The 16,634-nt window shown below is 34.9% G+C and overlaps 1 protein-coding gene across 10 annotated transcripts in view; it reads right to left on the bottom strand.

Annotated features, from left to right (window-relative positions):
- The window catches only part of DPP10 (dipeptidyl peptidase like 10), a 1,403,140-nt gene that overhangs the window by 881,525 nt on the left and 504,981 nt on the right, over positions 1-16,634 (bottom strand). The window lies entirely within an intron of this gene.

The following is a 16,634-nucleotide window of genomic DNA, read 5'->3' as shown; positions in this document are numbered from 1 at the left end:
GAAAGGAAGGAAAATAAAAGAAAATTAACAGAATAATAATTCCCCATTTGTAAATACATTTTAATTTTGTAGAGTGCTTTTATGTTCATAGTCACATTTAATCTTCACAGGTGTTCTGTAAGGAAGACAAGTTAGCTATCACATTTACAAATAAGGCAATCAAATATATTACTTGAAGGCAATGGAAATCGAGTAACTTAGTGAAAGGTCTATGGGTGGGTTCTTAGTATTATTAGTCCTGTCTCCTACTTACTTCTTCAACCATAAAGAACTCCTTCTATCCCCATGGAAGGAGCCAAAAATGCTTTTATAAAATCTTTCATCTTCTCTGTATCTTTGCTTCAAAGAATATTTGCAGAGTTTTACCTTGGAAAACTCCTCTTCTAGTTCTGTTCTGCTAGGTGTGCTTCAAAGACTTCACTTCTTATCTAGCTATTGGGCTTTTCTTGGTCACCAGGATTTGATCTTTAGCAAATCCCTTGCGACACGACCCTCTGTGTGAAGTCTTACCCTCATTGGTTTCTTCAAGCCTTGGGTCAGTCCTGTAGACTCAAGCTTAGCTCAGCCCCTGCTGAGACCACCATGGTGACAGCCTAAGGCAGTATTTTCTGTGAATCTCTTTGCTTTCTGCTGCACTAGAAACGGTAATAATTGGGCCTATTTACATTGGCACAGAGCATCAGCCTGGTTATGTAGAGAAGGGAATCTATAACATGATGTTTTGGTACCTCATATAAATTTTACATCTCTGATATATATGTGTTAATACACATTTTTCCTTACTTCTTGTATATTCAGTCTAACTACCGAATCGATGTTATTTTGTCCTTTTCCTTGGCATTCTTCTCACAGCAAATTACGCTTTTTTTCCTTTGACATATGACTTTCCCTGCTATGAATAAAAAAATGAATTGTGTTTACTTTGACAGATACTGACATTTGTGTCCTCTCTTTTCAAGTTTATCAAATGACCAGTGGCATGATTTTACATTTGCTGTTTTAAACTTTAACGTCCCTGTGGCTCTGGTGAAACGTCAGCTTTCACATACAGCAATATGGCCCATACTTAAAAATGAACCTGAAAGCTGGTTGTAACTAATGTTTTCAAGAAAACCATACTGTCCTCGTGTATAAGTATATGCAAAGATAATCCATGAATTTTGTTTAAAAATACTATGCTTAAGAATATTTTTAAATGCTGTGATTGTTATGCTCAGAAATATATCTTGTGACATTTTAATTCTTTCTGTTGTACAAATTTGTAACAGCATTGGTTGAGGAACTTAACAAGACTTAAAGTAATTATTCTCATCCATCTTACTGAAGATAATATAAATCTTACATTAAAGATTTTACAAGTTATAGGAATATACTGTTCCTATAAAGTACATTCAATGTCAGAAGGATTCAGATGAGGCTTTGGAATAATAATGGAGAAAACCAAGTGATTTAAATTAGGGCTCAACAATAGTACCCAACAAATCATTTTGCAACCCTTTCGCTCCACATTTATGTCTCTTCCATAAGTAGATTATGCTAATAGGTGCCAAGAGATTTATATCTCCAGCAAGCTGAGATAGGCCGTGGTTACTTTAAATTCTCTTTCTCTCAAAGGGCAGACATCGTAACCCAAAGTATTGTCATTATAATTCACTTATCAAAGATGATGTGTGGCAGGTAGGCTGCCTATCAATAATATTTATTGAGTATTCATTTTGAACAAGCTTTGAAACATGGGTTTGTGGCAGAGAGGCAAATAAAACAAGAAAAAAAGCACACTTTTTCCTCCTAGGTGGTTGAACTAAAGATATCACATGTACAACCCCATGTCCCTTTCCCTTGCCCGATGCCCATGAGAGATTGAATGAATTTTCACATGTCTGATCCCATTCACTATGACCTATTTGGAAACATATGTTGGATCCTAGTTTCTTTTACCGTCACATTTTCTGAGGAAATTATATATGCAAAACACACAAGGAAACAAATGTAAAAAAACAAAGCAGACCAAAATACTCACCTTGATAAAATAATTTTAACCTCTCCCCAGCTTTATTTTTTTGTGTGACCCTATTTTTTTCAGTGATAAAGCAATACAAGAGTACCACATACTTACGATGATGAAGTGAGAAGAAGTAAAAAGAGTATAGCACATAATGAGCCCTCAATAAATAATAGTGAGCAATAGCAGAGATAGTATTTGTAGCAGCAGCAGTAGCAGCCAATCTAACAGCAGCAACTATAGTAATTAATTAATGAATTGGAACTGAGTACCTTTTATTTTTTATTATTATTATTTTTTGAGATGGAGTCTAACTCTGTTGCCCAGGCTGGAGTTCAGTGGCGTGCTCTCAGCTAACGGCAACCTTTGCTTCCCGGGTTCAAACAATTCTCCTGCCTCAGCCTCCCTAGTAGCTGGGATTACAGGTGCTCGCCATCATGCCCGGCTAATTTTTGTATTTTTAGTCCAGACAGGGTTTCACCATGTTGGCCAGACTGGTCTCGAACTCCTGACCTCAGGTGATCCGCCCACCTCGGCCTCCTGAGTACTTTTATATGTCAGACATTGTACTAGGTACTGGCAAAATGAAGATAAAGCATACATTCCATACCCTTAGTTATTTCTCAGATTTCTCTGAAATGCACACATACACACACAAACACTCTCAAACACAAACACAAAGGTACAATCACAATGTGATAAAAGTTCCAATTACATTTCATAAGATACCTTTAATTATTTCCATACAATTATTTCTCAGGTTTCTCTGAAATGTGCGCGCGCACACACACACACACACACACACGCATTCAAACACAAACACACACAAAGGTACAATTACAATGTGATGAATGCTCCAATTACATTTCATAAGATAATGTTATAAAAAAGCACATACAGGGCCAGGCGCAGTGGCTCATGCCTTTAATCTCAGCACTTTGAGAGGCCGAGGTGGGCAGATCACCTGAGGTCGGGAGTTCGAGACCAGCCTGACCAACATGGAGAAACCTCGTCTCTACTAAAAATACAAAATTAGCTGAGCATGGTGGTGCATGCCTGTAATCCCAGCTACCTGGGAGGCTGAGGCAAAAGAATTGCTGCTTGAACCCGGGAGGTGGAGGTTGCGGTGAGCTGAGATCACGCCATTGCACTCCAGCCTGGGCAACAAAAGCGAAACTCTGCCAAAAAAAAAAAAAAAAAAAAAAAAAAAAAAAAAAAAAGGCGTATAGAGATGTAGAGAATTATTACTTAGCAGATGTCACATATTTTCTGGAGTTTTGACATTATCTGTTTAAATTTAAACAATGACAATTAGATTTTTTTGTTGTCTATTTTTCATAGAATATCAACCATTGTTATATTTAAGCTATATAGCCACCAAAACAAATTGGTCAGCTACCATGTATAGAATCTTTCTCAAAGTCACCCATACTTGAACTTATGTCCACTTGACAGAAGAATGCAATTCATATTGCTTATACAAATGACATCTTATTACAATGAATGTCCAGCGACTGAATAGCATAGAGTATTTTCTTAAAATGGAATTTCACTGGAGCAGAAACTGTATGGATATAACCTATCACCACTGTGCGAGTGTTATTATGATTACAACTGGATTTTCATTTCAGTGGTCTTGAGGTTAGATAATGAGGTTTTACCTGAGTAAGCGAAAAACTTAAAATTATATTTTAGTTTTTTCATGTTCCAGGCACCGGAAATGAACGCATGATAAAATTATTTATACTTTCTTAAATGAGTAAAATTAACAGGTGTAAAAATATTAACTTTGCAAATAGTATCCCAATTTTTTGGTTTTCCAGCAGTTATTTCCACAGATCACTGGTCATATTCCATCCAACAAAAGTATATATATATATATATATACGCACATACACTCTGTACAACCAGAGACATAGGAGATATTTTCTAAATTCATATTCCTCTATCATTTTCTTTTGGAAGTAGACTTTGGTAATGAGAGCCATAGTAACATCTCTTTGTTTTCAACTTCCTTCTTCAAAATGAAAGTTCATAGGAAAATAATTGTCATGCCTTTGGAAAGGCACTAAAATATCAGCTAGCAAATGGGTTTGGTAGGAGATGAAATTATGTATTTTTAAATCTTCAAATAGTAGTATCAGTAAGTTATATTATCTGACTGGGTATTCACATATAAGATGAACATTGCTTAGCTACAGAAACCTGGTTAATTTTTTTTCCTAATTAAAAATGGAGTTATGTATGTTATGCAAGAATGATGACCACAGGTTTAAACTAGTTTGTAGAATCCTCAAACACTGCTGGTGTCTCACAACTTGATAATAAAAAAATAAATAGCCCAATTAAAAACTAGGCAAAGGATCTGAATGGATGTTTCTACAACAAAGATAAATGAATGGCCAATAAGCACATGAAAAGCTATTTGACATTACTAGTAATTAGAAAACTGCGAACCAAAACCATAATAGCATTCAACTGCATATCCCACAGAACAGTTACATTGAAAAAGAGAGAGAATAGCAAGTGCTGATGAAAATGTGGAGAACATGGAATGCTCATCCATTGCTGTTGGCAGTGTGGTATCCAGTTTAAAAAACAGTTTGGCGGTTCCTTAACATGTTAAACAATAGAGTCACTCTTAAACCCAGTGATTCCACTCCTAGGTATATATTTAAAAGAAATGAAATCCTATGTTCAAATACAATTTATACATAAATGTTTACAGTGTTATTATTCATAATAGGCAAAAAGAAGAAACAACTCAAAATGTTCATCAGCTGATGAATGAGTAAACAAAATGTGTGATATCCTTACCATGAAATATTCTTTGAAAACAAAAAGACCAGAGTATTGACACATGCTACATGGATGAACCTGGAAATATATGCTAACTGAAAGAAACCAGACACAAAAGGCCACATACTGTAAGATTCTACTCAGAGGAAATGTCTAGAATAGGCAAATCTATGGACTCAGACAGACTAGTGATTGTGAATATACTTAAAACTAGTGAATTGTACACTTTAAATTGGTCATTACATAAAATGTAAATTTATCACAATAAAACTGTGTTTTAGAGGCAGGAGAATTGCTTGAACCGGGAGGTGGAGGTTGCAGTGAGCTGAGATCGGGCCACTGTACTCCAGCCCGGGTGACAGAGCAAGACTCCATCTCAGAGAAAAACAAAAACAAAAACAAACCAAAAAAACCACCAAACAAACAAACAACCAATCAAAACAACTAGCTTGTAAAAGTCTGAGAGAATCTCATTCTCCATCTGAAAATCATTTGCTGTACCTCTAACAAGCTTGGGAGAAATAATAGAGTGATCTACATCAATGAGTTACCCCCTTTTTTTAACCCTGGAAAATGTAAAAAGCCTACCTTGTATATAACACAAATTTGTAAAACAGAAAAATCATGTATAACTTCAAATTCATCTCATAATATCAAATCTATTATACTGGCTTATTATAAAAACATTCAATTAAACAGTGAGGCTATTCTAATATACCAATATTTAAAGTCAAAAGTAATGTATGACACCATCAATAATATACCATCAAAACAATTTAATTTTTTAAATTTACAAATAATAATTGTAAATATTTTGGGGGTACAATATGATGTGTCAATATATGCTTACATTATAGAATGATTAAATCAAGCTAATTAACATATCCATCACCTCACATGCTTATCAACTTTTTTGGTGAAAACGTTTAAAATCTAATCTTTAAGCAATTTTAAAAGATGCAATGCATTAATTCTATTCACCATTCTGTGCAGTAGATCACTAAAAAGCAGTCCTCCTGCCCAGCTGAAACTTTGTACCCGTTAAAGTGAGCTAAATATGGCCTGAGAAGGACTCGGTACGTCTATATTTGAGTCCTTGTGGCTGAACCATGACCTAACTTAATAGGTAGACAAGATTGAAAACCTAACTCAAGAGTATGTTCCTGTAACAATACTGCGTCTTGGCCAATCCCATCAGCCATACTTCAACCACTCATACACTGCTGAGTGTTCAAACTGTGTTCAAATAAGGCAAACACTAATCTGTAACCAATCCAGCTGTTTCTGTGCCTCACTTCTGATTTCTGTAGGTCATGTCTCTTTTTTTTGTCTATAAATTTGTTCTGACCATGAGGCACCCCTGGAGTCTCTCTGAATCTGCTGTGATTCTGGGGGCTGCCCAGCTTGCAAACTGTTCATTGCTCAATTAAACCCCATTAAATTTAATTCGGCTGAAGTTTTTCTTTTAACATACCCTTTGATCTACATCTCCCCTTTCCCAATCCTTCTCCGGTCTTTGGTAACCACCATTCTCTCTACCTGTATGAGTTTGACATTTTAGATTGCATATGTAAGGGACATTATGTGATATTTGTCTTCCTGTGCCAGGCTTATTTCACATAATATAATCTTCTCCAGGTTCATCTGCATTGATGCAAATAGCAGAATTTCCTTCTTTTTTAAGGATATATGTACACTACATTTTTAATTGATATATGTACACTACATTTTCTTTATCCATTCATTCTTCGATGTACACTTAGGTCTGTTCCACATCTTGACTATTGTGAACAAGGCACCAATGAACACTTAAGTGTAGGCATTTCTTCAACATACTGATTTCCATTCCTTTGGAACTATATCCAGAGGTGAAATGGCTGGATCATATGGTGGCTCTATTTTTAGTTTATTGAGGAACTTCCATAGAGTTTTAAATAATGATTGTATTAGTTTACATTTCCACCAACAACAAAGTTTCCCCTTCTTCCATTTCCTCTTCAACACTTATCTGTTGTCACTTTGATAATAGCCATTCTAACAGATGTGAGGTGATATCTCATTGCGGTTTTGATTTGCATTTCCCTGCTAATTAGAGATGTTGAGAATTTTGTAATATATTACAAAATATATTACAAAATATATATTACAAAATATATATGTCTTCTCTTGGAAAATGTCTGTTCAGATCCCTTGCCCATTTTTCAATGGGTTATTTATTTTCTTGTTATTGAGTTGTTTGAGCTCCTTAAATATTTAGGATATTAGCCCCTTATTAGATGTGTGGTTTGCAAATATTTTCTCCCAATTCCTGGGTTGTTTTTTCACTCTATTATTTCCTTTGCCATGCAGAAGCTTTTTATTTTCACGTATTCTTATTTGTTTATTTTGTTGCCTGTGTTTTTTTGCTAATATCCAAGAAACCTTTGCTCAGATCAATATCATGCAGTTTTCTCTTTTTTTTTTTTTTTGAATAGTTTTAGAGTTTTAGGTCTTACATGTAAGTCTTTAGTTCATTTTGAGTTGATATTTTTTATATGGTGTGAGAAAAGGGTCTAACTTCATTTTCATCTCCAGCTTTCCAAACACCAGTTATTGAAGAGACTGTCTTTTCTCCATTGCATATTCTTGTTATCTTTGCCAAAAATCAATAGACCATAAATGCACAGGTTAATTTCTGGGCTCTCCATACTGTTCCATTTGTCAATGTGTCTGTTTTTATGCCAGTATTATTCTGTTTCAATTACTATAAATTTGCAATAGGTATTAAAGTCAGGTAGCATGATACCTCCAGGATTCTTCTTTTTGCTTACAATTGCTTTTACCATTTGGGGTCTTTTATGGTTTCAAATAAATTTTAGGACACTTTTTTCTTTCCATGAAAAATGACATTTTGATTTTCATACAGACTGCATTGAATGTGTAGATCACTTTGGGTAGGATGGATATTTAAAATATATAAACTTTTTCAATCCATGAACATGGGATATCTTTCCATTTATTTGTCTCTTCTTCAATGTTTTTCATCAATGTTTTAAAAGTTTCAATACACATATTTTTCACTTCAGTTAAATTTACTCCTACATGTTTTTTTTTTAAATTTATTCTTTATTCTACTGTAAATGGGATAGATTTCTTAATTTGGTTTTCAGGTAGTTTGTTGTTAGTATAAAGGAATGTTACTGATTTTTACATGTTGCTTTTGTATACTGCAACTTTACTGAATTTACTAGTTCTGACGGTTTTGTGGTGGTTTCTTTAGGGTTTTTTATGCATAGGAATATGCCATCAGCAGATTGAGACAATTTTACTCTTTATTTTCCTTTTTGAATGTTTTTTGTTCTTTTTCTTGTCTTATTACTCTAGCTAAGACATCCAGTACTATGTTGAATAAAAGTGGTGAGAGTGGGCATCCTTGTCTTTTCCTGATTTTAGAGGGATGCATTCAACTTTTTACCATTTAGTTTGATGATGTTAGCTGTGGGCTTATCATATATGGCCTTTATCATGTTGAGGTACATTCTTTTCATACCTAATTTGTTGAGAGTTTTTTAATATGATAAAATATTAAATGTTGTCAAATGCTTTTTCTGTGTCTATTGAAATGATCATATAGCTTAGTCCTTCATTCTATTAACACAATGTATCAAATTCATAGATTTTTGTGTGTTGAACCATCTTTCCGTCCCAAGCATAAATCTCACTTGATCATGGTGAATAATTGCTTCAATGTGCTGTTAAACTTGGTTTGCTATATTTTGCTGAGGACGTTTGCACCTATGTTTATCAGGGTTATTGGCCTGAAATATTATTTTCTCATAGAGTCCTTATTTAGTTTCGATAGGAGGCTAATGCTAGCCTTGTAAAATTAGTTTGAAAATGGTCACTCTTCTTCAATATTTTGGAAGTGTTTGAGGAGGATTAGTATTAGTTTCTTTTTAAATGTTTGGTAGAATTCGGCTGTGAAGCTGTCAGAGGCCTGTGAACCAGAGCAACTCCTTCTTCAGCAGAACTGGGTAAAATGAGGCTGAAACCCACTGGGCTGCATTATCGGACGGTTAAGGCATTCTCAGTCACAGGATGAGATAGGAAAGGTCAGCACAAAATACAGGCCATGAAGACCTTGCTGATAAAACAGGTTGCAGTAAAGGAGCCGGCCAAAACCAAAATGGTGACAAGAGTGACCTCTGGTGGTCCTCACTGCTACACTCCCACAAGCATGGCCACATCAGGAAGTTACCCTATATGGTCTAAAAAGGGGAGGCATAATAATCCACCCTTTGTTTAGCATACATCAAGAAATAACCATAAAAATGGGCAACCAGCAGCCCTCGGGGCTTCTCTGTCTATGGATTAGCCATTCTGTTATTCCTTTACTTTCTTAATTCTTTCTTATGCAAGGTCCAAGAATCCTCTCTTGAGGTCTGGATTGGAACCCTATTCCTGTAACAAAGCCATTTGTTTCGGGGCTTTTCTTTGATGGACATTTGATTATTATTTATTCAACCTCCTTGCTATGGGTTTGTTCAGATTTTCTATTTCTTCATGATTTGATCTTTGTAGTTTATACATTTCCAGAAATATATCTATTTCTTCTGGGTAATCAAATTTGTTGGCATGTATTTGTTCACAGTAGTCTCTCATAGCTATTTGTATTTCTGTGGTTTCAGCTGTAGTATCTCCTTTCTCACTTATAATTTTATTTATTTCAGTCCTTTCTCTCTCTATATTTTTTTCTTAGTCTGGCTAAAGGTATATCAACTTGGTTTATCTTTTCAGACAACAAACACTTAGTTTCATTGTTCTTTTCCTTTGTCTTTCTAGTCTCCATTTCATTTATTACTGCTCTTATCTTTATTATTTTCTTCCTTCTACTGACTCTGGGATTGGTTTATTCTTTTTTTTCCAGTTCCTAGAGGTGTAATGTTAGGTTGTTTATTTGGGATCTTTCTTCTTTTTTGATTTACTTACTTAAAAACTTCCCTATTAGAATTGCTGTTGCTCCATGCCATAAGTTTTTGTCTGTGGTGTTTCCATTTTCATTTGTCTTAAGTTATTTAAAAAATGCCCTTCTTGGCCGGGCGCTGTGGCTCATGCCTGTAATCCCAGCACTTTGGGAGGCCGAGGTGGGTGGATCATGAGGTCAGGAGATCAAGACCATCCTGGCTAACACGGTGAAACCCTGTCTCTACTAAAAAATACAAAAAAAGTTAGCCGGGGGTGGTGGCGGGCGCCTGTAGTCCCAGCTACTCAGGAGGCTGAGGCAGGAGAATGGCAAGAACCTGGGAGGCGGAGCTTGCAGTGAGCCGAGATAGCACCACTGCCCTCCAGCCTGGGCTACAGAGTGAGACTCTGTATCAAAAAAAAAAAAAAAAAAGGACTTCTTAATCTCATCTTTAACTCATTGGTTTTTCTGGGGCAGAATTATTTTATTTCTACATTTTGTTTTGGTTGAACAATTCCAAGAAGTCTTGACCCATGCAAATAAGTAACTGTGAATAATTTAAGCAATTTTATATGTAGCATAACTTTTCACCAAAATGATTCTAAAAATTTGAAGCAATTGTTGCTTCAAAATTTCAAACACTAATCACAGTATTTATTATAAACTCAAAATTTGAATCAAAGTATAATAAATAACAAACAAAACATTAAATAATCAGTAGTTTTAAAAATTAGAACATTCATAATACGGTACCATTAAGAAAATATTTTTTATTTTCTTGTTGTTGAACAATCTATTATTGACCATAATTATAGCACATAGCAAGAAATATGTGTCCTAACTTTAGATAAAATTCAATTACATATGACATGCACATGCTGTAACAGGATACTCATCTTTATAAGTTAATGGGAGTAGGCACGTGGAGACCTTCGCTCAGAATAATAACAATACTGAGTTACAACCTTAATAAATAATCATTTAGTACACATGACATACATGTTCATGTACACACACACACGCACACACACACATACACATGTGAGAGCAAGAAAAACTATTCCATAGTCCTCAGACTCAGAAAACAAAAAGTCAGATTTGAAGCAGAAGTTATATTAATGGTATCCAGTTAATTAATACTTTGGTTTATAGGACATTTGAAGTTGTTCCCATTTAAAATTACAACTTCAAAAATAATAAAAAAGATAGACTTTATTAACGTAATTTTAACTAAGTGCCTTATGGGATTGCTAAACTGAGCCTAATGGTTCTATAGCGCAGAATTTGAAAACCACTGGGCTACATTTATAAAGATGCCCTTCAGTTCTCTGATTCTATTATTTGATTATGTAAAATAAAATTAGATTTTTTTAAACTTTTGAAGGATTTTAAAGCATATATTATTTAATATTTTAATGGTATTTACAAAAGATTTTTGGATTACTGGGTACTGACACATTCTCTCCTAATGATTTACAGACACATAGGACAAATTAACAACATCCAGAAAAAAAAAAAGCCTCAAAAGAGAATAGCAAGCTCTGTTTGGCCTTACACACTTGCAGTTTTTGTTTCATTTGCCAGAAAGGCTATATCTAATGGACAGAATTGGCTCTTCTATCCTTTAATTCTCTGTTTAATGACAACTCCTCCTCACATGGCTGTGGCTGACTAGCAAATTTAAAGAACTCTAGGCATGTCCTAACTGTTTGCTCATCAACTACTGTGTACCTAGACCTACACTGGCCAAATTTTACCTCCTCCTGATAGAGTATATCTTGTGTGTATTTTTTCCATCTCACCCTTCCCCAACACATGTTGTATTCACACTAATGTCTATACACAGACAGACACCAGGAGCTCTTAATACTGCTAAAAATATGGTAGCCTTAGGACTATATTTAGGGCCAGATTTTTCTATTTGGCATAGATATTTTAGAGATCGAAGTTTCATACACTCATTTTACAAGGCAGCTTAGAAAAGACCAGAGAAGTTAGGCTATTTCCTAAATGACGAGTGGTGGCTCTTGGTGTTGCTGAGTCTAGAACCCAACTATCAATCCACGTGGCTACTGCACATCCTAACACATCATACTGTATCTAACATGTTAATGTTTTATCAGAGAAACAATATAGGAATGTTTACAGGTGTTTTTACATTTGTTTGCATGGGAAAGCATTGTTGAATATAAGAAGGTTGATTTCGTGTGTATACATTTTATGTAAATGTATTTCCAGAATTTATTTGCATATATATATCATTAATAATATAATTTATATATAAGCACTTGTATTTGTAAACTTATGCATGGAAACTTTATCATACACAATACACATTTATTAATTACTTAGATTATTTTATAACACTAAAAGTATCTTCTGAGATTTTAATATGAGATTTTAATATGTTAGTTTGGTAACTAATAAAATTATATACTGAATTCTAGCACCGAAATTATATGTGTAAACTACTTATATTAGTTACTATTTATAAAATATAGTACTTATGTAATAATTATTGTTAAGCCAAAACATTTGTTTGATGTTTTATGAATTCTTATATTTGACATCAGATAAATATTAATTTATTCACAAGATATATTAAACTCGTAAATGACTGTAAGTGTATTAGGGGAAAGAAAAGGAAGTATTTTAATTAACCAGATATGCTTTTTGTTGTCAATAGGTAGACAGAATAGGTAGAGGAAGTGGATATGTGTAAAACTCTAATATGAGGTGAAATTAGTTAAGAGTGCTAAAACATTTAAAACAAAGTAATAAAATCCAGAGAAGTGATATTCATTCAGATAAGAAAGACCAGATAAGATTTGATAAAAGAAGCAGATATTCGGGCTAGAATAGTATAAATGTGAAAATAAAATTCTAATTTTACTGCTTAAAAATATCTGTTCTTCTTATTAAAAAACCTTCTTTTTCACTCTAGCTTTAGGGTGTTTTACAATATTTAGATTTATATCTAATAACTTAGAATAATTACTTATGGAAGCAACGTGGGAATGAATGCAAAATTGGTTACAATCACTTTTTAAACATATATAATTAAAAGTCAAAAAAATACACTTTATTTACCAAGCATAGAGGAAACTCAATAGAAATCTGCAGGGATTGTCTTTTTGTCGCTCAGTTCTAATCATATTCATATTATAAATTCCTTGTACAAGAACCAAATATAATAAACATGACAATAGTATGGAGCAAATTATAAATATAAAATACTGACCCAAATATGACTGAAGGTTGAGCTTTCTTGAGCTGAGCCTTGTAAAATATATGATTGCCGCTTCCTGCCAGTGTTGTGTACTAAATCTTGCCTTGATTTATGATGTTGGAAACTTATGAAGGCACGCTTTCTAATACATACTCTCGGTCACAGATGAGTAGCTCACTAATGTACTATATTCCTTCATGAACCAATCAATTTAATAACTTTACCAATGCCAGCTTTTGAACAATGCATCCCCTCATTGACATTCCAGTGCAATAGTGAATAACAATTAGATTTCATTGTAGCGCTGTATCTTGCTATTGTCATCCCCATAAGAGATGCTTTCCTTATAGTCCAAAGAATTGACATAAATGTAAATGTTAGGCCAACCTACCAAATAAGTGGTCCAGGGGCCCTCATTACCAGAAATGAACACTTATCTGCCTCATTGTCATATATTGTTTTTCCATATCATTTATTTTCTAGTGTTTGAAAATAATCTGACATTTTTCAGTGTTTGAAACCCTGTTCTGGATTTGACAAAATCATTCATGCTCTGGAGACACATATCTTTCTTCTGTTAATACAGTCCCTTTAAAACCTAAATAACAAGATAGGGTCCTATAAGTACACTGTGAAGATAGAAAACCCAAAGGTGTTCTAAGTTGTACAGCTATTAGAATCTAAAAGGTATTCAAGATGTTGTATTAAAAAAAAAATCTTGAGAGACCAAGGAGGGCAGATCACAGGTCAGGAGATCGAGACCATCCTGCTAACACCGTGAAAACCCATCTGTACTAAAAATACAAAAAAAAAATAAAAAAATTACCGGGGCGTGGTGGCGGGAACCTGTAGTCCCAGCTACTCAGGAGGCTGAGGCAGGAGAATGGCATGAACCCAGGAGGCGGAGCTTGCAGTGAGCCAAGATCGCGCCACTGCACTCCAGTCTGGGGACAGAGCAAGACTCCCTCTCAAAAAAAAAAAAAAAAAAAAAGCAAGGTGTGGTCTCATTATTTTTTACCCACATAGGGTAGTTGTCTTGGCAATTTGACATTAATGACAAAAAAAAGCTTCTAAAGATGATAAAGGAAAACATATCACTGAAATACATTGTCTGAGTTTAGACAAGATAGGCTTGCATTACATTACTATAGTTATAGCTAGTTAGGAAAGATAATCTTAAACACAAGAAGTTATCAAAGTAATTGGCATATAGCTATATGAAAATCATATTATTCAACAGTTTTTTTAAGAATTTTTTTAAGTCACATTAGACTTCAAATTTCTGAAAAGATGATGAACCAACATAGGTTGGTGGCTTTCTACTCTGGATTCTATCTTAAAGGAGATGCCACAGAGAAACAAGGAATTTGATGGGTTCTAGTTACTAAATTAAAACTGTGAAAACCCTTGGAAAGATTATAGAATGCCAGCATGGCAGAAAGAGCTCTAGCAGCTAAGAGTTGAGGCTGGGGAAGAATTCTCACATTGTTTCCTCCCTCCCCATCAGACCCCATTGTACTGGGTGAAGTGATGCCTCTTTCAATCATCAGCACTGAGAGAGACCAAACAGAAGCAACAACAGCAGGGCTAACCCAACCCAAGACAGAGAATTTGGGGTAATAAATGTGAACATTCTCTATGTGATTCCAGACTCAGACCCAGCATTGCAACATCTGGGTCCATGTCAAGTGCAAACCCTTGGGGCCCACCACTCAGGCCCTAATGAATCAAAATCTCTGAGGATGAAGCCAAACAATCTGTGTTTTAATAAGCTAGCCAAGTACTTCTGAAAAACACTCAAGTTTGAGAAGTCTTACAGCCTAGCTAATAATAGCTGGGGTAGAAAGTGGTTAACAATAGGTACTAGTGGCTTCCAGCAATACTCTCTGATATGGTTTGGCTCCGTGTCCCCATCCAAATCTCATCTCGAATTGTAATCCCCATGGGTCAGGGGAGGGACCTGCTGGGAGGTGACTGGATTATGGAGGTGCTTCCCCCATGCTGTTCTCCTAATAATGAATGAGTTCTCAGGAGACTTGATGGTTTAAAAGTGTCTTACTGGGCCAGGCGCGGTGGCTCACACCTGTAATCCCAGCATTTTGGGAGGCCGAGGCGGGTGCATCACAAGGTCAGGAGATGGAGACCATCCTGGGCAACATGGTGAAACCCCGTCTCTACTAAAAATACAAAAATTAGCCGGGTGTGGTGGCACACACCTGTACTTCCAGCTACTCAGTAGGCTGAGGCAGGAGAATCACTTGAACCCGGGAGGCGGAGGTTGAAGTGAGCTGAGATTGTGCCACTGTACTCCAGCCTGGGCGACAGAGCAAGACTCCCTCTCAAAAAAAAAAAACAAAGTGTCTCACTACCCCCTTTGTTGGTTCTCTCTCTTCTGCTGCCTTGTGAAGGAGGTGCTTGCTTCTCCTTTGCTTTTAACCACGAATGTAAGTTTCCTGAAGCCTCCTCGGCCACACAGAACTGTCAGTCAGTTAAACCTCTTTTCTTTCTAAATTACCCAGTCTCAGGTAGTTCTTTATAGCAATGTGAAAACAGACTAATATACTCTCTCCTTCCTCAGAAAGAATGGTGGTACTTGACAAGATAGTAACAAAAAACAAGCAAGATCCCTGAGGAAGAAGGATGGTCAGTGGTATGAGGCAGACAAACAGAAGTGGTTCAGTCTACATTTTGATATTTTAGATTTTTGTTTTGAAATGTTTAATTATTTAAAATTATAAAAAGGGAAAAAAATAAGGTCTGAATTTTTCACATTTTCCCAGATTGAGAGGAGTATAAGTGACTGTGACCTCCCAGAGACAATGAACCATAGGACAACAATTCAAGACAGCTGATGAGCAGGATTTTTAAGACAAACTATATAAGGGTAAAATAAGATGCAGGAAAATATAAAATTTTAAAGAGGAATAATAATTATCTTTGTAGAGATAAGAAATAATATTGGAAATGTCAAGTAAAAATGAGAATTTCTAAAGAAAAAACAAATAGAAACATTGGGTATAAAGCATTAAAAATTAAATTAATTAACTAATTGAAGGATTGAACTGTCAAATGAATTCAACTAAAGAACAAACGAGTGAGCTGAACAATTAAGTCAAAGCACGCTCCCAGAATGCAACTGGAAGGGATAAGGAAATAAAAAGAATAGAAGAAACATAAGGTAAGAGATGTAGAGAATATATATATAGAAATGTCAGTATTGAATTAATAATAGTCCAGGAGGGAAAAATATATAAAGAGAAGAATATTTGAAGGATTAATGACCAATAATTTTTTAAAACTAAAGAGAGCTATAAGATCTTAGATTAAAATGATTCAGAGTATACAGAAACAAAAAGATAAGGTGGGGAGGGGAGACTTATGAACATATCAAATTACATTCAATAACACAAAAAGCCAAAGGAAAATTCAAAAAGCTTCCTGAGGAAAAGAGCTTCACAGTCACAAACAAGAAGTACATGTCCAGGAAAAAAAGCACACTTTGAACTTAAAATGTGTATCTATCAAAATTATTTAAAAACATAAGTATGTTTTTAGAGTTAACTCAGACTCAGAAATGTCATCTAACTAAAGCCCTCTTTGAAAGGCCTTTTATCAGAAATCACTACAGTTAAAAACAAAGAAATATGAGGAATATAAAAAAT

Source organism: Homo sapiens, chromosome 2 (genome assembly GCF_000001405.40).
Source record: "Homo sapiens chromosome 2, GRCh38.p14 Primary Assembly".
Lineage (NCBI taxonomy): Eukaryota > Metazoa > Chordata > Mammalia > Primates > Hominidae > Homo > Homo sapiens.
This window is presented reverse-complemented; position numbering and strand designations above follow the sequence as displayed.